The following is a 25,633-nucleotide window of genomic DNA, read 5'->3' on the forward strand; positions in this document are numbered from 1 at the left end:
ATCTGCCCACTGAACCACAGGTGGGGGTGCAGGCAGGAACATGGCACATCTGGCTTTATTTTGGGGTCTGGTGACACCAGGAACATGGATAAATGCCCTACCTTAATTATGGGCTGTTCCAGATCCAGGAGCAAATATCTTACAGGCCACATTCCCTTTTTTCCCAGCCAGAATGGAGGTTTCCATTTTGACATGATATGGCCGCAATATCATTAGAACTACCAGCACTCATATTCCCCTCACTGTGATCCTTGTAGCTCAAAACACAGCTGTCTAGGCTATGGTCTGCACAGGTCAATGTGACTCTAGTAATTCTGTTACTACCTTTGCAATTGCTCTTTATGCTAGCACAAATACTGGTATTAATTCTCTCGATACCATGGCTAGGTAAATTTTGTTCTGTGCCAAGCACTGAGCTAACCACTTTCACATATATTTTCTCATTTCATCCCTATGAGGTTATACTGATATTACTCCCACTTCCTAGATAAATGGACTGAGACTTGAATAGGGTAAGGTGACATGCCCAAGGTCCCATAGATAATATACAGCAAAGCCAAAATACCAACCCAAGTCACATGGCTACTGGGTCAAAGCTAGATGCAGCATATGACAACTGTCCTCTGCAGTAACAGGTCCATGTTACCAACATCAGAGTAGATGAACTGATTTTGTTAACGTAACACCTAGGAAATCTAACCAAGGCCATTTGTTGTTATTTAAATTGGACCAAGAAGAAGATTGCAGTTATGAAAGAAGGAATTAAGCAATTTTGGTATAGCAAAAGTATCCTGACGTTTGTTGCCATTATTTATTTATTTATTTATTTAATTTGTTTCTTGAGGCAGGGTCTCACTCTGTCACCCAGGCTGGAGTGCAGTGGTGTGATCTCGGTTCACTGCAACCTCTACCTCCCAAGTTCAAGGGATTCTCCTGCCCCAGCCTTCGGAGTAGCTGGGATCATAGGCACGCACCATCATATCCAGCTAATTTTCATATTTTTAGTAGAGATGGGGTTTTGTCATGTTGGCCAGGCTGATCCTGAACTCCTGACCTCAAGCAGTTCACCTGCGTCAGCCTCCCAAAGTGCTGGGGTTACAGGTGTGAGCCACTGGTCCAGGTGACATTATTTATTTAGTTTTTTAAATGAGGAGTAATATACCTATAGCCAGGTGTACGTAAAGTATGCTAATCTTAAGTATACAACTTAATGAGACAGGTTACCCATGTACACATCCCTGAGAGCAAGATAGAAAACATTTCCACTCTCTAGAGGGCTACCATGTGCCTCCCTCCACCACTGTACTCTTCCCTCTACCACTATTTAAATGTCCATCATCATTGATTTGTTTTGCCTGTCTTTGAATGTTTTATATATGTGTGTATATATATATACATATATACATATAACAAAGAGTGTATATATATATACTTATGTATGTACACATATATATACATATATAAGTATATATGTGTACATTTATACACACACACACATACACACACACACATACACACATACAGTTTTTGTCTGCTTTCTTTAACTGAACAAAATATGTGTGGGATTCTTCCAGACTAAGTTATACATGGACAGTACTGTTGTACCAGTAGTTTGTTCTTTTTAATTGCTATATGGTATTCCATTTTCTGGAAACACCGCATCTATTTATGTTTTGGCTAAGATAAGTAAGTCATTTATAAACATTCTTATATATGTATTTTTGGACATATGCAAATATATGGGTATATATTCCTATGAATAGAATTGCTGGGTTATAGTGCAGTTGTAAGGTTCATTTTAATAGAAACTACAAACAGATTTCTAAGGTAGTTTTACCATTTTATATTCTTAGCAGTAATGTATGACAGTTCTTCTCACATCCTTGCCAACACTTAGGGATGTCCTGACATTTGTGTTTGATAAGCCCCTTGTACATTCTCTGCTTTATAAAATAAAGCCTGAATTGTGTCTATGAAAATAATCACACACCCGATCATGCTTTATTTTTATCTTTTTGTGAGAAAGCGTTTACGAAAAACATATACTGGCATTTACAGGTCTGCCTCTGAGATGGGGAATGGAAAAAACAAAACAAACAAACAAACAAACAATCAAAACAGGCTTTGAAAAAAAGACCCTCAAGTCAGGATGGAACTCAGATGAATGGAATTGCTACAGAAAGCCTACAACCAAAGTTTTATTTCATGCATGCATAATTCTGCATTTATTGCAGCCCTCAAATCCTATTTTATAACAAGACAAGCTTAATGACTGATTCTTTGCCATATACTTAATAAGCTGATGCATATACCCCAAGTTACCCAAGTCATCAGATGGCAAATGTTTTATTTAGCCTAGAACATTAAATATTTATTGAGCCAGTCCATGGTTTACTCATTTATTCACTCCTTCATTCATTCACAACACAACCTTTATTAAGCATCCACCATGGGCCAGGCACTGTGTTCAGCCTGAGGATATGACACCAAGTAAAACCAGCATATACGTGCTGCCTAAAAAGACGTAATTAAATCAATACATGTAATATGGCTTGCTGTGTTCAACAATAGGGAAAGGCAATGTTTCATTATTCATTCATTCATTACGCACCTAACGATTGACACTCACACACATACATTGCTGGTGTTCTGTACACTGGGGATGAGAAAGATACCTAGACCCTTCAGCTGCTCCTAAAACGTGTAGTCCAGGAAGTGAAGGGAAAGTAGCCTGAATGCTATGGCCAGAGGTAGCTGAAGTATGGCGCAAGGAATGAGGAGGGTTCGGATAGCAGATACTAGAGTTACGCCCCATTCCAAGAGACCCTTTATCAAGAACAACCAGACAGCATGTCTTGGTCCTGGAATCCCTCCCTGCATTCTCAAAGGCTTGTCAAGCACAGGGACTTGGCCATGAGTTGATGGAAAGGCAAAACCATGCTAACCATGCTGTGTAACAGGGATTGGACTTGCCATGTACATTAGTTGCCCTGCTTTTTGCCCTTTCTCTCAATCACAGGCATTAAAATTAACATCCGTGTCAAAACACATGCTAATGCACTTGCATGTAGAGAACTCGAGAACTCAGGCTTTAAACCCTGGATGCTTTTTATTCCCATGTCTAGAATTTTTGTAATTTTGAATGTGTATGGGTTCTCAACTTAGTGTCACTGCCATAGCAAAGGATGGCCAGTCAAAATATTTAGGAAATCTATTTTTGCACTGATGAGAGTGCTGACGGTATGACCATAATGTGTATACTATCAGGTAAGAATTGTGTACATTCTGACAATCATCCATTCTTATTCCATTTTACAGATGAGTTAAATGAGGTTCAAAGAAGCATTTTGTTGCAAAGTTATCGTGTAGGTACCATGTAGGAGAAGTGCAATTTGAGTTCAAGAGGTCTGACATTCAGAGCTCCAGGATCTGAAGCCACGAGGCTATATTACCTTCCTGAGACATAGAGGATCTTTTGAAATGAACCCACCTGTAATTCACATCAAATGTTTCACATACTGCAGGCGATCAGATTATTTACCATATTCTCAGTGATACTTAAAAACTTTCAACTCTGCTATCCTTTAAACCCCTCACATTCCAGAAGAATGAGGTTGTCTCTGTTTTGTGTGATGTCAGGATTTCCCTGCTGGGCTGTGTCCACTCTGTTGGAGTTCCTTTGTCCTGGGAATCAAATGACTTAGTCTCTTTAGAGAAGTTGGGCATGGAGCCCTGGTTCTCACATGGCCATTGGCCATGCTAAGTCAGAGAGCCAGGAGATGTAATCTACATCTCCATCTCTGACAGTGGGAGGGGACTTCTGCACCACAGGTGTTCTCTGAAATGGAGGATAAATACCTTTTAGAAGTATTTTGCAATCGAACACCACCTGCAACCCTGATATTAAATGTATCATTTCTTTCAAAGGGATCCGCATTGTCTTTTTTGTTCAACAGTCTGTGTATTTAACACGTGCTACTATGTGAAGAATGCCACAGACTTCCTATAGTTTGGTACCTTCTGCAGAGATTGGTAATACCTCTCAAATGTTAAACTTTCTTAGTTTTTCTCAAAAATGACATGAGGTTATTAAAAATAAACATCTGCTTAGAAATGCTATGAAATTTCAGATGTTAAAATATACATTTCTTCCTTTTTTTCTCACCAATAATTTGGGAACTATCCCCCACCCCAGGATTAGAAATGGACCCTTTCAACACTCTCTGACTGTCTCACGATCCAAGTTATAATAAGCAATATGCCATTCAGAGACAGCAAGTCCCTAAGTAAAGGACAGGCTCTTTGATGACTTCCAGCCCTTCTCATTCCTCCTCTTTGTGGTGTGTCTATGAGAACCGGCTTCTGGTTGCTGCAACACTGGGAAACAAAATGCAAACCAAACAAATAATCTATTTCCAAGGTTTTCTTACAGAGAGAGAGATCTATTTATGAAACATACATTGTTCGGTTTCAGGGGAAAATCATGTAATCATTGCAAGGGAAAAAGCATGGAAAGTGCTTTATTTTGCATAAAAATCCCCTTGCTCTATGATTTATGTAGCTGAGAGTTTTAGTCTGGGGGAGCATGGGTCTTAGTATCCCACCAAAAGAAGACGGAATCTAAAATGCAGAGAGAATTGCCTCTCACAACAAAACGCTGGTGTTTATTAACCTGGCATGAGGAGGGGCAGTGTGTGTGTGGCGGGGGCGGGGTGGGGGGGGGGGGTCAGGGAAAAAAAAAGAAATAAATGTATTTTGCTTGTGGGTGATATTACTCAATAAAGATGGACCCCAAGCTATGCATCACTCCTTAGAGCAGACAAGTCATTCCCGGCAATTAATATTTGAGGACTCAGCTGGGTTCTGCTGAACTTATGTAGGGTGCATAGGAAATCAGCATTGATTCAATATACCAGTTACTTAGACCCTGCAAAGAACTGCCCTTCTCTCCACTCTAGTTGAGAATGTTTTATTGCAGTCAGCACCTGTTTATGAAATGCCCTCTGGGAATCTCTCCCACTTAAGAGGTACAGTCTCCTAGGACATCAGGGCTGGAAGGAAACTAACAAGACTTTCAGCAAAAACACCTTATCAATGCTTCGATTTTCACCACCACGTCCCAGAAAAGAAGCTAGAAAGCTTCTCCTTCAGCACATCCAGAGATGGAAAGATACAAACCTTCCAAGCAACCTTTTCCATTTCAGATAACTGCAGTTGTTAAAAAGTGATTTCTTAACATTGAACCAAAAACTGGACCTCTTCTAACTTCTGGTTTTGCTCCTTCTTCTGCCCTCAGGACTACTGATTAAATGAAGCCTTTGATGAAGTGCATGCAGTTTGTAGCTTGATTCATGGGAATACTCATCACAGACTGAAAGTGTAACCCAGGGTCTCTGGGTTTTTGGGAACGCGCTGTGTAAAAGTATCTACTTGTAACTGTTACTCCCTGAGTTGTTGTTGTTTTAGAAAGTTCCAAGAAGAAGCTTAGCCTTGGAAAAAACAAAAACTGGTTGAATCCAGAAGTGGAGATGAATTTTGGCCAACGCTCCTCACTGCCACACTAAAAACCCTGCTCAGAGAGGAGCTTATTCACCATGTTCTATTCATGCAATGTGTGTGGAAACATGATCTACGACAGCATGCGTGCTGCCTTCACCCTACCTCTACATACAATGACTCATTTAACCTGCTGAATAAAAGCCCTGTTTTCACCTTTGCTGGGGGAGGTGCCGCTTTGGGAACTATTCGCAGTGTCCTCTTCACTTTTTGCAAGTAATAGAATACCCTTGTTAAATCCTACTTGGTTGTGGTCATTATAGTGTCACCCGCCAAGCAATCGATCCCACCCAGGGTTAACAAATGCGGGATAACAAATGTCAGGTTTTAGGCAAGTTACTTACTCGCTCAAAATATGAAGATATAAGTTACCATCAGTTGTCAATCATGGTGAGCTTTGCTCTGCTGCAGTAACAGACAATCGTAACTCTTAGTAGCTCTAAATGACCAGTTTAAATAACACCTCGTCTTTGTAGTTTTGATAGCGACAGGAGGCAGCCAAATGCCTAGGCAGGTAGGGGCAGGTTCCCCGTGAAACTCCATCTCCAAGCCGAAGACAGTTTAGAGCCTGAAAGCCAAGCTCCACATTAAATCCTCCGACTGGATTGAGAACTTGTCTTCCTGTTTAGTGTGCTTTTCTCTCATTGGTCCCTGCCATTCACCTATTTCATATACACCTAACCTTTTCTAATTGGTTTTCTATACTGTCATGCCCAACTTTGAGTGGTCTTTGCTTTAACCTTTTCTACATATTCACAAACCGATCAGCATGCACCCCCCATTCTGAGTCCATGAAAGGCTCTGGATCTAGCCACACAGAGGAACTTTCCCATCTTCAGGTAGGGGGGCCACCACCAACATGTCCCCTCTCCACCAAAAGCTGTTTTCATTGTTCAATAAAATTCTTCTCTGCCTTCCTCACCCTTCAATGTCCAGCATATCCTCATTCTTCTTGGGCATGGTACAAGAGCACAGGAACCACTGAAGGTGGGTACAAGTTATAATACAGGCAAGTGGGGGCATGCCAGCTTTGGCTGAGTGAGGACCAGGTCGAGCATTACTGTCAGGGGATCCCTGGCTTGCAAAGTGACCAAGAAGAAAAGTCTTACATTAGTTTGGCTAGGGTGAGGCCCTGACCTCTGTTACCTTCACTCGGCCAGCTCACTGATGGTGACTCTGTATTGATAGGCACTCCACCCAGAAATTGTGCACTGACATTTCCTGGCCAACGAAAGTTACTCAACTATGCCTGATTTTAAACTGCAATCCTAACATGACCCAGAAGGTGAAGAGCCAGAAATATTTGATGACTACACTGAGCCCACTTTCCCTCACAGGCTTGTTTTGCAGGGTTAATGATTTAAGCCATGTGATGTATGGTTCACAGGGTGCCTGGCACCTGCCAAGTATTCTTCCCCCAGGAGTTGGCAGGTCCTTGAAGGCACTCTCTGGTTTAGATATTCTTAGCTCCTTCCACTGTTCCTCATGCTACATTATCTTAAATCTTTTTATTTTTACCATCCTGGTTCGTCTCCTCTAAAAATCCTACCCAAATGTCCCTGTTAATTCATGATCCACCAGAAACAAACAATCTTCCAGCTGAATACAGAACCCAAGAGAACAAAATGATCTCCTTCCTTCTTCTAGATTATGCATCCTAAAATCTGACTGTTTTTTCTTTTCTGGCAATCAGAGTGCACTGTTGAATTTACTGTCAATTAAACATTCTCCATCTCTTCTATGTATTTTTCTGTATTTAGACATTTTTCTCCAATCCCATACTTGTGTCATTAGCTTTTCAGTCACAAATAAAAGAAGTTTCACATTGTTCCTTATTAAAGAGCATCTGTTTGACTTGGCCCATTCTTCCCAGCAGTTATAATTCAGACCAAGGTTGTTCTCATCCAACATTCAAACAAACACTATGGAATGGGAGAGGTATGAAAGCATTCATCCCGACAAACAATGGTCTCACCATTTTGGAAGGCATCTTTTTTACTTCATTTTTTAACAGCTGTATTAATATGTAACTGAGGTACAATAAACTGAATACATTTAAAGGGTACAATTTTTATAAGTGTGGACCTTTGAATACACCCATGGAACCATGACCAAAATTAAGACCATGAACATATCTGTCACTCCCAGAAGTTTCCTTGTGTTCCTTTCTAATCCTCCCTTCTTGCCTAGGAGACATTTTTTGTTATTTATATATTATTTTTTTTAAGGACTCTTTCTCTGTCTCCCAGGCTGGAGTGCAGTGGCGTGACTTTGGCTCACTGCAAACTCTGCGTCCTGGGTTCAAGCGATTCTCCTGCCTCAGCCTCCTGAGTAGCTGGGACTACAATTGCGTGCCACCACACCCAGCTAATTTTTGTATTTTTAATAGAGACAGGGTTTCACCATGTTGGCCAGGATGGTCTTGATCTCTTGACCTCATGATCCGCCCGCCTTGGCCTCCCAAAGTGCTGGGATTACAGGCGTGAGCCGCTGCACCCGGGCTAGGAAACATTTTTAAATCACTCTTTCTATTCTCATGACATATGTAGCAACTAGCACAGTGCTGAGCACAAAATAGATGATTTATACAAATTTGTTGGAGTTCTAAACAAGTGTCCAGAATATCTGAATGCTTGTCATGTCCATATAACAATGCCCCAAGGTTGGTCCTTAAGCAGAAGGTGCCATTTGATGGCCTGCATCTCACCCATTAGAACACAGATAATTACACAAGGGCAGAGCCCCTCATCCCAAGGTGCCCAAGCTATGGACAAGCCAGTGGCATATGGGAAGCCTGGTATAGGGCCTGGTCCAGAGGAGACAGCAATATCCAATTGAACCACTCCAATCCTTCTTTGGGGAAGTGGATGCCATCATTCTTCTCATGCAGAAGTGGAGACATGTTGTATCAACTTACAGACCTTTCATCCTATCCAAGATACATACATTCCGGTCATTCCAAAGTATTTACTCAGCACTTACTATATATTGGGTACTATTCCAGGTGCTAGGCATTTAGCAGTGAAAAAAACCTGTTGGAAGCCCAAGGGAAAAGTCTATTACTGTAGATGGAGAGTAAGATGATGCAGAGGTGGACAGAGAACGGGGGAAAATATGTAAAAAGTAAAGGGCGGGAAAGTCACGATCATTTAGGGGAACTCCAGAAGTGACTATCACCCTCTCAGCCTTATTACCCTGATATATTTTTCCTTTCCTTTTCTTTAGGCAAAGAGAGTGTTATCTGACATCCTCTTTTCCACTTCAACTCTTCCTACCCAAGCAGCAATAGGAGCACATGTTCTAACGTGTCTGGAAAACCAACTCTCATCAATTAATTACTAACCGTTCTCTAGAGCTCTGGGGGTGGTGCCTGGGACACAGAAGGCATGGTCTTGAAATAAGGGTGTATCACTGTTTCTTTTGCATTGCAGAAGGTGAGGGCACTAACCTGCTGTCACAGCAGTGGACTGACCTCACAGAAGGACTGCCTGCTTAGTGGGAGAGCAAAGTGAAAATGATTTGAAGAAATCCAAATTCTATCGACCCATACTGCACAAGCCTTCCATTATTCAGCTTTAAGAACTAATGTATAATGTGTGCTATTGCCATCAAACTTCTGTTGCAAATAATTCATGCCTGGAACTCTTAAAAGATATATTGTTAACATTATCACCAGCGGAATCAGACTGGACAAATTCTTGGAATTTGATGAAAATGATCACTCTGGTATTTGAGATCCTCTTTAAGGGTTTTAGTATATGAATCTCAGCAAGAGGCTAACATAATAAGGCGAAATTTGGCTCAAAATTTACCAAAAAACCGGTCACTGGGTTAATTATCTAATGCTGATTGCTACATTTTTTCAACACAATTTAGATTCAACCCTCTTTGTCAAAGATCAACAGTGCTACCTGGTTAGTGACTTTTTTGTTTGTTTGTTTGCTTTTTTGTTTAACAGCTTTATTAAAGTGTAATTTTTATACAAAATGGTTGGTGTTTACATCAACAGCAAAAGTAGAAACTCATTCCCAGAGTCTTGGATGGAGGCCAGGAATGCTGCTAAACATCCTACAATGAACACAGCCTCCAACACGAAGAGTTAACCAGCCCAGAATATTAGTCATGCTAAGGCTGAGAAACCGTGTTTCAAAATGAGCCTCAGTTTTCTCATCTGTAAAATGATAATGATATCTACTTTTCAGGATTGTTGCAAGGCTCATTGACAATGCCAGTAAAGTAGCTATAATGGCCTGACTTGCACCAAGCACTCAAAGTAGGTATTCTCATGTGAACATGATGGTGATAAATATTATTTCATTTCTTATCCTGGATTGGATCAAGTCTTAAAGAAATAGGCACAGAAATGCCTTCTGGTCACCAAGTAATTAGTCCTTCAACAGCAAAACATGTGCAGTTTTAAACTAAGGTTCTAAAAAGGTACAACAGAATGTTTGTCTTTGGAATGTGTAGCATTTTGGGTAAGGGCAGCTTGTTTGTTTGTACTCCACCCTGAATATGACCCACAGTCATTTCCTCTTCTTTGGCTTTGCTCTTGGGTCTTTACCATGATGAGGAAGTGGGGTCTCTCCTCACACAGGATCACAGTCCAGAGGGAGCTCCCACAGGGAACGCCCAAGCCTTTTATGAAATAGGACTTCTGGTCTGGTGGTGTCTGAGTGATGCCACCTCCTTCCTTACACTCAAAATAATTCCTCCCCTCTATCTAGGACGATAGCCACAGAAAGAATGCTACAGGCCACCCAGCGTAAGGTGGAAGTACTGTTTAAGTCAAGGGAATGCCCCTAGAGTTGTGACTTGAACCTTATAGGTAAATGAGGAGTTCCTCACCCTTCCGTCTCTTATCACAGAGCTTCTTCAGTTCAGATCCTAGGGGGCCTCCACTATATACCCCCATCTCTACTTTCTTGAAAGAATACCAGGAAGATTTCATGGCAGGCTCCTTGATCCATCACTGAGTAATAGGAAAGGGACTACTACCCTTTGGGGACTGGCAGCTTCAGAATTTTGCAGGAGCAACTCAGGGCTCATACAGCAACTATTGTAGAAGCACTAGAAAAGCCAAGAAGCAGTGCTTGCATAACAGGCACACTGGTTTTACATAGCTAGCATGTTTATTGGGGGTAGCTTGGGAAGAATCACCGTTCTGGGGGATTGAAGGACTATACTCCCCAAATCACCAGGGCTGCCACCGCTGCATGTGGGTTGACTCTTACGTCCAGTTTTTTTCTTCTTACCATCCTCAGGAGAACTCATCCCCCAATCACAACCAATAGTCTTCTTCACCCAATAGTGATCGGATTTTGGAATAAATATGTTTATTATTTCATTCAGCAAATATCTACCAAAAAAAACCCACCATGGTAAACTCTGGCATAAACAGTCAGTGGAGCTTGTAGCTTAATAAATGTGATAATGCTTAACATGTGTACAATTGATTATCATTTTTGGTTTAGCTCTCTCGGGTCTGTTACATCATTTAATGCTCATAGAACCTCCCCCATCCCAAGACAAGGAGGATGGAGGTGATAGATGCCTTTTTGATGGACGAAGCAACCAAAGCTGATAAAAAGAGTTAAGGGGACATCAAAACTCAAATTCAAGCCTTCTAGCCCCAGCCTAGTGCTTTCAAACTACAGATAGCTCTTTTCCCTATTCATCTTCTGCACCTCTCCCTCATTTTTTACAAGCTCTTTTTGTTTTAATTTTTTAAAATGTGTATAGGTACATAGTAGGTATATATATTTACGGGGTACATGAGATGTTTTGATACAGGCATGCAATGTGAAACAATCACATCATGGAGAATGGGGTATCCATCCCCTCAAAGCAAACAACCAACAAAATTAAGAGATAGCACACAGAATAGGAAAAAAAAATTGTAAACTGCTCATCTGTCAAGGAATTAATAACCAGAATATATAAGGAGCTCAAACAACTCTATAGAAAAAAAATGTAATTATCCAATCAGAAAAAATGGACAAAAGATCTGGATAGACATTTCTCACTCTCTTATAGTGGTGAGAGAGTCCTAGGTTGAGTTAACTAGGCTCGACTTTTATCCACCCTTTCTCACAAGGGATGAAAGCATGGTGTGGATGGAAGTTATGTTATTCAACTTGTAACTTTTTATCTTGTCACTACCCTCATTTGAAATATAATCAGATAGAGTGGAAGTGAGACTCTAAGACCTTTCAATCTGATCTTTTCATTTTATGGATGATGGTCCTGAGATCTGGGGCATTAAAAATGACTACGACACAACAATACTAGTGAGAGAAAGTCTCTCATTCTCCTAATCCCAATTCACCAATCTTCTTAAGTTTTCTTACGGCTCTTGTCTAAACCTAAGGAAAAAAAGTGATCTCAGCATCAAATAATAATTCTTTCTTCCAATTTCATTGGAAAACATTTTGAAAACATTGTGAATTGCCACTTGAAACAGGCAACAGTTCTGTTTGCAAATAACTCTCTGATGAAGTGGAGTGGGTTTAAAATCAGAAACAAAAACAACTTCTTTGCTACCTTGCTGGAAACTTCAGGCAAATATGTGTCATACATGGTCAACTATATAAATTATCAAAGTTATTTTTGTTGAGTCACTACATGCTTCAAAAGATGTATCAATCCCTGAACATCCTGTCCATGGAACCCTGGCATTAACTTGATGAATGGGATAGCGTATTCTGAAATCACATTGCTTAATTTCCTGTAGCTATTGTAAAGTTTAAGTTCATTAGAACTTTGGGCTCAGCAGCGACAGCATCCTTCCACTGAAGGTGCAAATGGCAATGATAAATTGGCCTTGCAAAATGATCACAGTGATACACAGTACAGTACATATACATAGCATATCATTTCTTGATAACCAATAAAGAAAATATCCAAATTAATTGATGCATTCTCTGGGGATCTTTTCTCTAGGGCTGTCTCAAACTAGTTCAGTAGTGAGGTTGGGGCTTGCTTACTTCTATGGACTTATCTTCTTGAGAAAGTCACTCAGAAGGGCAATCCAATTGCTCCTACTTCAGTTTTCAAGCAGAATGTTGGAGAATAAAGCCTTTGGCAAGAACTTTCTTGGGAGACGAAGGGTAACTGTCTATAAGGTGCTCTTGAAATGTGTTTGTTTGCCTTGGTGATCCTCAAAGACACCTGGAAGATCTTCTCTAGGCAAGAAGCCTTGGCATGGGCACTGCCACGCTGAATATTCATTTTGAAGTACAGCATATAAAGTATAAACAAAAGCCAAATGCTGCTCCTAAAAAGCATTTTCTACATTTCATAAATAACAATAAAATTTGCTTGTAATGGTAACTACCACTTTTAGAAAACAAAAAGCTTACTATTTTGTGTCTTATAGTGAATATTTCTGGAAGGCAGTGAAAAATGCCCAATTTATTTTAGAAATATTCATTGAGTCCCTCTGGCCTTTTAAACAGAGTGCTGGGGAAACAAAGGTTCTTAAAATAATGCCTGCATTCTTGAAGAAGGCTCCCACAGACTAGTGGAAATGCAAGGTTCATGAACAGTCATGATGCAATCCTCAGGGAGCCTACCTATGATGAGATGAGTTGGGTAAAGCATAACCAAAAGGATTTCTATGTTTGGGCTCTGAAAGAATGCAAGGGTGTTCGCTGGGTGAAGAAAAATGGAAAGGGCATAGGGCAAAGAGAACAGCATGTTCAAAGTTGCAATAGAAAGAATGTGTGACGAATTCAGGAATCCAGAAGAAGACCTATGTTATGGAAAGAGAGAGCTCAAAAGAGGTGGCTTTCCCTACCTGCCATGGGGAAGCACAGGGAGATTTGTGCAGGGGTGACATGATTCACTTTGTGATTGCAAAGTATCATCGCTGCAGAGGGTGGGGAATGCTGTGCAAGACAAGGTGGGTGAGGAGGCCTCTAGATACAGAAGAGGGAACGGTGAAGGTCTCAGCTCCACCTTCTGGAGCAGGATCCAGAAGACACCTCGGTGGGAGAGTCATTTATTTAGTCCTGTTAACACACATGTTTTTTTTTGTTCCAGGTATCCTACTAGGCTCTAGAGACACAAGACAGATAATAAGACAGCCTTTGTCATGATTTCGCTGTCCTTGGCTCACACGTTTCTCGTGGAGCCTACCCTGAGTTGGTCCATAAGCCAGACCTATTGTTAAGTGTCGCCAGAGAACAATATCATCCAAGTGTGCACCTGTGTTTCCAATTGCCCTTTAGTACAATCTAGTATTTCATTCACTGCCTTCCCTTCCTGCATATAACACTCATCAGGACAGGGACTCCTGTGTTTGTCTCATTCCATGTAGTGCACAGCAAACGCGTTGTAGGTGCTCAATAAATATGGGTGGGATGAACACATGAACAAAAGAGCTCACAAATAACAGCAAGAGATGGACCTGATAAACCCCAGCGCCACAGTCTCATCAGTGTGCTGACAGAAGCATATACAGGGGTGGGGAGTGACAGCAGTTCTTCTCTAGGCCACATGGTCCACAAAGAACTTTGTGAAGTGACCAGGCTGGATCTGAGTCATGAGTCATTCACTTGGTGAATTCATCCCTGGCAATGGAGCCTTCCTCACACCTGCATGTTGCTTCTTAATCTGGAGAGAATTATGGTTCCCTCCTCCACAGAAGCTGCCCCAACAAAGGACGTCATAAAAGCATCCCCAGGGGGAAGCTTTGTGTGAGAAATCCAGGCTGTGTCCCACCTTCAGCTGTCAGTAAGAAGGTTACAGCTTCCTGGATAATGCCACGCCAGAATGTGGAGGCTGAAAAGGGTGACGTGGGAGGGCAGGAAGTAGAAGAAATGGAAGCACATTTGCTGGCAGCAAGAAGCTCCTCTGATTTACCCAGAGAGGTAGCCTCTGTAAAATACTCTGAGGGCAGTCTGAATATCGACCATTTCTTTTCTCCTCTGTCTCTGGTATGTGGTGAAACCTCCAAAAGAAAGCATATCTTGATATTCGTTCAAGTCAGAAATATTGAACCGAAATCATAGGCTCACAAGTTGGTAGAACTTGGAGGAAATGTGAAAATCTTATAATGAATTGTTTATCTTTTTAAATGAAATTATCCATATGTTCTTAAAATATTAATGCAATATGGCCGGGTGTGGTGACTCACGCCGGTAAACCCAACGCTTTGGGAGGCCAAGGTGGGCGGATCATGAGGTCAGGAGATGGAGACCATCCTGGCCAACATGGTGAAACCCCATCTCTACTAAAAACACATAAATTAGCTGGGTGTGGTGGTACACACCTGTAGTCTCAGCTACTTGGGAGACTGAGGCAGGAGAATCGCTTGAACCCAGGAGGCAGAGGTTGCAGTGAGCCGAGATCACACCACTGCACTCCAGCCTGGTGACAGAGCAAGAGTCTGTCTTAAAAACAACAAAAAAAAAACGAAGTACATTATTATAATATACACTTTCTGTAACCACCACCAACTTAACTAGAATATAATCCTCTTGAAGATAATGCTGCATGCATGCGTTCATTTAATAAATATATTTCAATCTGACCATAAGCCATTTGGTGTGCTAGGCTCTGGGGATATTATGATGGATATTAGGATAATACAATCCCTGCTTTCAAAAAGCTTATACTCTAGAAGTTTTACCATATCTATGATATGTACTCAAGCCTAGTGCTAATGATCAGAGCCCATTACATATTTGTTGAATGAATGACTTAAACAGCAATAAAAGGAGGCTGGGAGTAATATTGTTATTTATTGCTCCACAAATACATTTTCTAAAATTGGACTGCAGCCGCATTGAGAATAAACCATCCTGATTTTCAGAGTCCAGATAAATAATTCAATCTGTCTCTGCTCAGATGATTTATCAATGGGAAAAGACACTTTAAAAACATTTTCTTTGGGGGGATGTGGGTAAAGAGGTGCTGGCAGACTTAGGAGCCTGCTTTAACACCATTAAAGTGGGTGTGGTCACTGCACTTTGTATGGCTTCTCCAGGGCTGATTGGAAAAAGAATCATCTGCATTCATGAAGAATAGCAGTTAACACATTGGCCTGATATGGCACACACTAACTGTGGGATGCTCAGGAGTCTTCTTCCTTGCTAAGAGACCTTGAGTTTGTTTGGGACAGCAAGATCCTATGCAGGACATTGTCCATCCCAAATTCTCTATGGGGGGGGGGGTACGGGGCACAGTTTTGGCCATCATTTAGAAGTGGAGTCTTCTCAGGGTTCTGAGATGGCAGTTTTTTTTCTGAAAAATGGAAAAGACAAAGACATGATAGGTACCTTTTCTCCCATCCGCTATCTTCTGGTCTGGAATAAGGATGTGATTCAGCAGCCCATCTGAGGCCATGAGGCAAAGGCCAAGAGAAATGCAGAGGGATGGGCCTTAATGATATTTACTACTGGATCCAGATTTGTCAGCCTCAGCACTATTGAGATTTGGGCCGATGATTCTTGTTCTGGAGAGCTGTCCTGTTCCTTGTGGAATGTTTAGCAGCATCCTTGAAATTTACCCACTAGATGCCAGTAGCATTTAGCAACAACCAAAACATGTATCCCCCAGTTGTGATAACCAAAAATGCATGCAGGCATTGCCAAATGTCCCATAGGGATGAGGTGGTTATCCCTGGTTGAGAACCATTATATTAGACTAATGCTTGATACTACCTACCACTGGACTTCATGCAACAAGGAAACACTAAATCTTCATGTGTGTGTACCTCTGGAATCAAGTGTTCTGTTACTTGCAGACGAAAGCATTCCTCATGATATACAGAACATGAATACGGCCAGCATATGTGTAGTATCTAAATACGTCTAACTACTACTATGACAGGATATTGGATAATGGTGCTTTCTACCTTTTATGCCTATCTGGGCTCCTAACTTTCTTCAAGGGCTACTCTCAAGACTTTTCCTCCAGCTCCACTCCAGACCTTCTCAGCACCTGTATATTCTATTCTTATCAATGTAAAAACATAGTACAGCACCTGGCACTCAATACTGTTAGCTGAGGGGCAGCTTCATGTAGTGACTGAAAGCTCTGAATCTGGAGTTAAATTGCTTGGGTTCAAGTTCTGACATTTAGAAGTTGAGGCAAGTTATCTTGAGGAAGTGACTTAGTTTCTCTGAGCCTCATTTATCTTATCCATAAAACAGGATAATAACAGTATCTGCCTCCAAGTCCCTTAAGAGAATTAAAGGTTTTCATCCAAGCAGTGCCCACATTTTTAAAAGTGAGGTGATATAAAAATGGGAACATTGTATAATTGAGGCTCTAGTATGCTTCCCAACCTTCAATCCCATTTATTTTTAATTGATCAGAGGACCATCCTAGAGGATGGTCTAATTTCATTGTAATTGGATTGAAACATACTAGGTCCTCAATTATATAATGTTCCCACTTTTACATCATCTCACTTTTAAGAATATGGGCACTACTTGGACCCTAATCTAGTATGAGGATCTAGTGTGAATCAAGAAAGAGAAATTGGATTGAAGGTTGGGAAGCAGTGAACTCTAAGATACCAAAAGGACACTCTACTTTCATGGACAATTTCTCCACTTCCTCTGAAAAGGGTACTGAAGTCAGTGGAATCAACATTCTGAATTTTGTGTTACAAGCATTGAACCACAGGTTTATGTTTTCTCAAAAAATTTAGAAAATATTTTGGCTTTGTCACATAGCTACAATTCAGAAAAATTGGTAAATACCTCTGAAGGTCGTCAACTGTATCCTTCAGCCTCCAGTGAGAATATCCTTCTGATGCACCTGGCCATCCATTAGGTGTGTAAAGACATTCCTGAAGCTGAGGCACTCATAGACAAACCTCTCATTGATTTCTGTCTTATGCTGTGAGGAAGCGCTTTCTTTTGTGTAACTCACATTTCTCATGGTGCCCTGCAAAACCATGTTCTCTTGAACTGTCCTTTCAGAAAACAAATCACAGCCCAAGAGATTTGAGCACCTCAAAACCACATTTAGGATGTTAGATATATTTGGATCTTCAGGAAGCAGTCTCTTGTGTTTGTGAGCTTCATATTCTACTCTCAACCCAGTGCCTCCATCTTCACTAAAGAAGACCCAGTACATACTTTTTAAAAATATGATACAGCCCACAGTGAAAGATTTCTGCAGGGATAATACCAACCATTGGTCATGTCTTAAAGTAGCACAATGTCTTAAGAGAAGCAGAGTGGCTTTTCTCATCTTTCTCTTTTCTTGGCTACAGGAATCAGAGTGGAATCTCTAATAGCTGAAGTTTGTAATAATTACAACATGGGCCCAGCCATCAGTTTGGTGTGGTGTGAGTGTTAAAAATGGGATTTCTTAATTTGAATTATTGATCAGCATGTTCACTCAGGCAGCCATTCTCCCCTTCAAATAGGCAGTAAATCTCAGCTGACAACTTTTCACACTTTGAAAAATACCAACAAACTCTGGAACTTCAAATACAGTCACGAGCCTTCTCTCTCAGCTGAGAGCAGTCTTTCTAAGACATTCTTCACAGAGTGTAGGTAAAAACCATTTTTTAAGGACATTAGGAAAGGAGTGAATAATCTCTAAAGCAATATCTTTGCTGTGGTAGTGTCCTATGACAGGGCTTCACAGACCTTAATGTGCACCTAAATCACCTGGCGATCTTGTTAAAATGCAGACTTGGATATTGTGGGACTGGCGGGGTGGAACCTGGGAATCTGCATTTCTAACAACTCTCAGGTGGTGTTGATGCTGCTGGTCTAGGTGTACCCATTCAGGAAGGCTCTAGTACATATCTCGGCTAATGACAGTCCTGATTGTGTCATTGAGCATAGTATTTCTATCCAAATCCTGCCAACTCCCCATTCCCTGAGTGGGAAATCAAGACACCTGCATCTTGTGGTAGGACGTTCTCAAGCAGTGTGATCCAGTGAGAAGGTTGTCTCAAGGGAACCAGGCATTAGTAACTATACACACTAGTCAACTCTTCCAAGAGATTAAGCAGAGAATGACCTCAAAACAGACCTATAAGGGCTTGAGACATAAATGATAAAATAGTAGAAACGGATGAGAAATGGGATGGCCAAACTCAGGAAGGCTGAGAAAAATAAAAGGCCTTTATAGAAGTCAATACCTTTGGAAACCGATTTGTAAGCCACTAAAGGAAGAATTGCTGACAAATTATTAAGAACAGAAAGACTGACTTGAGACAAGTGATTAAAATTTAATAATAGGCTGGGCATGGTGGTTTACGCCTGCAATCCCAGCACGTTGGGAGGCTGAGGCGAGCAGATCACTTGAGGCAAGGAGTTCGAGACCAGCCTTGCCAACATGGTGAAACCCCTTCTCTACTAAATATATTATAGAAAAAATTAGCCAGGCCTATATCTCACCACTGCACTCCAGCCTGAGCAACAGAATAAGAGTCTGTCTCAAAATAAATAAATAAATAAGATAAAAATAATAGTAAAAGGCAAAAATTAAAAGGGATTCAAGATAAAATGATAGCAATGGAATAAAGTAATACAAGCATATTTGACGTAACTGATGTATGTTAAGAATATGTAGAGCTGATATTTATAAACTACACTAAAGAAATAAGAAAAATTTAGAAGAAAAGACATATTTAATGACATATATCAAGAATGTTTTCCTAAAATATAATACTTATGAATTTACGGTTTGAAATAATTAAAAGAGATTAGAAATTAATTAATGACTCTGGAAGACAAAAAAGATTAAATATAACACAATTGTATGTCTAAGGCAAGGATTCAACAACATAAGTGAAATAGAAAAAAATTCAAAGATATAATTTAAGAGAGAGCATAATGTGCTCCAGGAAAAATTGGTAGAAATTAACCAATACTAAGACATCTTGGCATAGTTCTCAAGTTGCAAAGAAAAAGTGAGAATCTCATGACAAGCCAGTTAAGTCACCTATAAGGAGACAAGAATTAGACTGGTTTCAGACTTTATGTCAGTGATAATTCAATACTAGAAGACAGTGGGACAATGTGTAAAATACCCTCAGGGAAAGAAAATGTTACACCTAAAATTTACAGCCAGTCATTTTATCATTCAAATACAAAGGTAACAGAGAGATTTTTTTTTTTTATCATGCAACAACTCAAGAAATGTTGTTCTCCTTTATTGGATTTGAAAGTGTCTCTTCATTTGGATATTTGGGAAGAGACAATTTGGCTGTTTCATATTATTATTAACATATATATTCCTGTTCCTACCTCAAAAAGATGGAGCTATTGACATGGCTTGCTACGTCAGTCAAGATAGACAAGAGACCGAAAAGCACGTAGACATGGCTGCAGTGGTGATTGGAGGTGTCTTCTGCTAGCCACATGCTATGGGTGTTTCTTTCTGCCTTTCATATAGTTGGCTAGTTTAATAGGTGAATTAATTGCTAATCACTGAGTGTCTACTTCCTGCTGCTGAGATTGGCAGCTGGCCATAGCTGGCTGTGGAACAAAAGGCTGTGCTCTGAGCCCAGGCTCAATACCCTTCCTTTTTCACTCATCTTGATGAAAACCCACTTCATCCCAATCAAAACCCACTTCTTCCCACTCCACCATTTCAGCTTGAGCATTCTGAATCCTCACCACATTCATCCATTCTTTGAACAAATATTGTGCTAAGGAGAGATGACATGAAAATGAAAAAGAGAGACATCATCCTTGACATCATAAAGCTTCAAGAAATACAGAGAGAGGGAGAATGATGGGGTGGAGGGAGGTTAATGAGGTAACTGCACACTTATTTCATTAACTAATACAGTGACGATAAATGAGGTGAAAGCAAAAGTCAAGGTATTGTAGGTATACATAGAAGAGGGCCATCCAGAAGGGAAGGGTCAGAAAGATGCCCAAAGAGGAAGCGCACCTGATGTTGCAGCTGGAAGGATTCATAAGACAGATAAGAGTTGGTCCTCTAAAGAACCTTCAGAGTATTTTAGAGGAAAGGAAGCAGCATGTATGAAGCTCTTGAGTTGGGCAGAGGTGTAGCCAATCGGAACACCTAGAAGATCAGTGGTCTAAAGTGTCAAGTGGCGGGACAGCCATTAGAAAATGCTAAAGAGGTAGATGGCCTTGAATGTCTTGGTGAGGAGTTGATGCCAAAGTCTTGGGCAATTACAGGGGTTTCTCTGTGAAAGGATAACCAGATGAGTCTGGGGCTACTCAAATAAGTCATTGCACAGCCTTCTGGCTGGCTTCACTGCCTCTATCCTCTTGTAACAATTCAATCCAAAAAAGAATTCTTAACAAACCATAGTGCCACTCAGAATGGGTCACGGGCTCCCTGTTGCAAAGAGGATGGAAGCTAGAACCCATCTGTAAGTATTGAGATGCTCCTTGACCAAGTCAGCCTTTTCTAACCTGCTTGACTTTCCTCCCCAACACTCACGGTCCACTCCAGCCAGACATACACATTTACGAAGTACAGTCTGGGTTTGTTCATAATTGCCTTTGCTGAGTTGCCAGAAAGCTTTCCTTTTTCTGTGAGTTTCAGAAACTTTGGCATGGGTCAAGACATAATAGCAGACAGAAGAAAGATCATAGGCTTTAGTATTGCACAGAAATGGATTCAAATTATGTCTTGCTACTTACTTAGTAACTATGTAGCCTTTGGCAAGACCTTTAATCTCATCCTGCTTCCATTTCCCCATTATTAAAAGAAGGAAGGCTCTGTTTGATCCTACACAAAGGGGGATAATAACAGTACCAGCCTTCACTGGGTGATTGTAAGAATTTAAGTAAATAGTGGATAAAGAATGCCTGGCAAGCCCTGAGCACAGTGTCTGGCACATAGTAAACAACACCTGCTGCCTTACTGTCATTGACTCTTTTATGTGACGTGTGTGACCTGGTATCTAGTCACCCTGGGGTTGCATACTCTCATTCTAAAAGGAGCTAGCTGCTTTCTTCTCCCTCTCCTCTCCCTCCTCCTGACACCCTGGTGATGGCTGAGGCTGATGTTCACATCTGTCCTGTGGACCACTAAGGTCTGTTTCTCCCCCAAACTTTTTGGAGAGTTTCTTCCCTGAAGGAGGGAATCTGTTATGCACATTGCTCTATTCCATGTATGTCTTTCTTGGTGACAGATTGATTCCACAGGCATGAATCATTGATGACTTCAAGTGACCCAGAATATTCTTCGTGTGTAACATACAGCTGTGAAGGACGCTTTTGTCAAGGGGAATCTGGCACAGATGGAAAACACAAACCTCAACATTGTCTGGGACTGTGGACAGGGGCCCTGATAGTTTTCAAGAATCTTTCATAATATGGGCTTTTCTCAGATGCCAGAGTGGTGGATGTTCACTTCATTTTTCCAAGGTGGAGATCTATTGTGGACTTCTTTGAAAAACTAATATGAAATCTGAGATTTCATATTTCATGTATTAGCCATCCCTGTGACTAATCAATCACATTTGACTGACCAGGGGGACATGTGCTATAAACATCTAGTACGTTTATATTAATTCATGCCATTTACTACCAATTTTGCATTTTAGAAATAATATTATGGGATTCATAGGCCCCAACCCCTGAAATATTAATTTCAATAAGAGTTTTTTCTTAAGTACATACTCTGCCAGACCCCAGAAATGCCCTGGTGTTACAGCAGTGAATACTATCAACTTGGTCCTTCGAGTTCACACTGCAGTTGAGGAGGCAGACGTTAAACCAATAATCACACCAATTCCCACATAATTAGAATTGTGGTAACTGCTATGTTGAACATGAGAAGCAGGTGTAAGCACAAATAACAGAGAGGCTTAATCCAGTTTGGAGACTTAGGGAGAAGGTGGTTACAGGTCAAGAAAAACTCACTTAAAGGAGCTACACTGAAGCTCAGCCCAAACGGATGAGTAGGAGTCAGGCGGGCAAAAGTGGAAGAAGGATATGGCTAAGAGATGGTAGTCAGGGAGACCTCGCAGATGAAGAGGAGCAGAGATAACGGTGTATGAGAAATGAGGCTGGAGAAGTAAGCAGAGCTGACCTGTGACAGCGAAGTAGGCCACACGGAGGACTTCAGAACTTACCAGAAAGAGAAAGTCGTTACCACAAAGAAAAGATTTGATCACATAGTCAATTCACTATCACTGTTGATTTCCTGGCCACATTCAGCTGGCAGACATTACAACTAAACTACAGAAAATGTAGCTGACGTCAGATGCCCACTTTTCCAGTCCTAAGTGATTAATTCATGCATCCACATACCCATCTACCCATCCATTCATCGATCTACCCATACATGCATGCACCCATCCATTCATTCACCTACTATCCATCCATCTACCATCCATGCATTCATCTAGTCATCTATCTATCCATCCATTCATCCATCCACCCACCCATCTATCCTTCCACTCATCCATCCACTCACTCATTTATCCATCCATCCACCCATCCATCCATCCATGCATGCATTCATCCATCTACTCATCTATTGACCCATCCATTCATCCATACATCTACCCATCTATCTATCCATTCATTCATCCTCTCATCCATCCATCAATGCATCCATTCATCCATCCATTTACCCATCTGTGCATCCATTCATCCATCTGCTCATCCATCCGTCTATCCTCCCATTCATCCAACCATCCATCAATCCATCCATTCATCCATCCATCTACCCATCTGTCCATCCATTCATCCATCTGCTCATCCATTCATCTATCCACCCACCCATTCATCCATCAATCCATTCATCCATCCATCTATCCACTCATCTATCCAGTTATCCATCTATCCATTCATCCCCTCCCTTGTCATTAATTTACCCACTAACCCACCCACCCATCCATCCAAACTTCAATCCATGCGCTTATGTATTTATACCTTCACCAAGTATTTATTCAATTCTCTAGGAACAGAATTGTGCTGGATGCTAAGGTAACATGGTGAACAGGACACCACCCCCTCGTTCAAATGTTTTATAGTACAATAACAGAGACAATTAAACGGGAAAAGATAATACAGTGAACTCTTAGCTGGGATGAGGGTAAGAATTAAGTATCAAGGGAACACAAAGAAATGAGGCAAATATTGGAGAAAGCTTTCTAGAACTGAAGTCTAAGCTGAGATATGAACAGTGAAAAGGGTATGAGGCCAAAATCTGACAGGAAATGCAAAGGCCAAGGGTGACGGAGATGGAGATGTTTTGAAGGAGGTGGCTGGTTTCAGGGTGGCTGGGTAGGAGGTCGGGATGGGGTGGAATCATGAGATTGGACTGGAGAGGTAAGCAGGGGTCAGTGTATATCTATTAAAACTTTTGTTTTATTTTGTTCGGATGCTGTTGCTTTGTTATTATTTTTGTTTGCATTTCTTTATTTTATTTATTTATTTTTGCAGAGGAGGTATATGAGCAAATAGAAATATAATTTGATAAATTCTGTACTTGGGCAGAAGCTATTTGATAAATATACAAAAAAGTATTTTCAGGAGCCATGTAGATGATGGAATAAGAGAAATAAAAGTGATTGAGTGTCTACTGTATGCGAGATACTTAACCTGAATTGGCTCCTCTTAATTTCACACCTTCTCTGAGATTGAAATGTATTCCTAAGAATTCAGGTGGAAAGTCAGGGCCTGGCCAGCTGAGGCTGTTGGAAAAGGCCACACAGCTTGCAAAGTGCAGATCCTGGGTGAGGACCCAGATCTGTCTGATGGTGCCGCCTTTCCGTGACTGCATGCTACCACTCCGCTTCTCTCCAAACTGGTCATTTCCAATTGGGTGGACTCGTGATTTCCAGGACTGACTTGAGGACACCCAAAATTATACAATTATTCCAGGGGAGAAGTAAAGATGCCAAATTCCTCTCAAAGCAACTCAGTCTTAAGTAGTTTGAATTGGTAAAAAGGTCTTACATATAAAGTATCTAGAATATATGATGTTTACAGTTCATCAAGCACTATGCTAAATGCTTCTGCTTCCTTATTAGGGAGGTGACATCATGGTCCCATTTTACAGAGGGAGACAACCGAGACTTACATGAAGTAATATAGCCATGGGAGCTCACTAAGTGGTGGAGTCAGGATTTGAGCCCAGGTAGTCTAAGGAAGAGGCCCTCCTCTTAACCACATGACCTCACAACATATACCTACAATGTTGCACCCTACAAGCCTCTGTTCCAACCAAAAGGAACTCTTGGGAGAGAAGTGGAGGCTGTAAAATTGAGCAATACCCGTAGGACCTCAGAAGAGATTAGGAACCAGTGAAGTCCTCAGTGCATACCCCACGTATCCTGGAAAACAGCTGGAGACAAGAACCTCAGAACCACAGCAGAGCCAGGGGCTTACCTTCCCTTAGCTGCAGCTCCCTTGCTTGCCTTTCCTGAGGATGGAGCTTTCTTTCTGCTAAAACAATTTTCCTTTAATCTTTTCTGCAGAAGAAAACCCAGAACAAGCTTTATGGGGTTCACTTTAGTTTTGCTGTGAATTTTCTGTGAGCCTGAGGAGCTCCGGTGTTTTGCCAACTGACAGATCTGCCTGTCCTCTTTTCCTTCTCCCCTTTCTTTTTTTTCTCTTTTCTCCCCCTGCGTACAATTTATGTAGAACATCTGGTTTTAAAAGTGTCGCAATTTTAAAACATATTATAATGCTCATGGGATCAGAGTATCAACAGCTGTCTATTGCGGTAAACCGCATGTCTGGAAACTGAGTTCTTGAATAAACATAAAGCATCTATAACACATGATGCTGAGCAACATGCATTTGTAAACTGAGTATTTAGACCAGATGAGGTGCAAAGGATGGCATTCTTGGTCAGGCTGTCAAAGTGGTAAGGGCATCTTCATTTTCTTAGCCCTGAATTTATCCGAAGATCCCGGAGCCTGTGAGCTAAGTCAGGCACCTGGGGGCCCTCTTTAAAATCTTTTTGACTTCTTGCCCCCCTGTTTCTGCCAGGGTCTGCTGCTTTTGACCTTACTTTCCTACCATTTAGTTATCACTAGCCTACAGTTTGTGGAAGTTCTTTTCCACCCCTGTAATCGAGATTTCCAGGAGAGTAAATGATACTTGACTTTAGTTAGAGCCACTCCTTTCTCTCTGGCTCCTGAAGTCTTCAAGAA

General features: G+C 41.1%; 1 long non-coding RNA gene across 1 annotated transcript in view; it reads right to left on the reverse strand.

Moving 5' to 3' along the window:
- LINC01228 (long intergenic non-protein coding RNA 1228) overlaps positions 1 to 25,026 on the reverse strand; it is a 29,316-nt gene extending 4,290 nt beyond the window's left edge. The window contains exon 1 of the long non-coding RNA NR_170199.1: positions 24,864 to 25,026. This is a non-coding gene — a long non-coding RNA (long intergenic non-protein coding RNA 1228). The remainder of the gene's footprint in view (positions 1 to 24,863) is intronic.
- Positions 25,027 to 25,633: the final 607 nt, after the last annotated feature.

This window comes from Homo sapiens, chromosome 16, assembly GCF_000001405.40.
Source record: "Homo sapiens chromosome 16, GRCh38.p14 Primary Assembly".
Classification (NCBI taxonomy): Eukaryota; Metazoa; Chordata; class Mammalia; order Primates; family Hominidae; genus Homo; species Homo sapiens.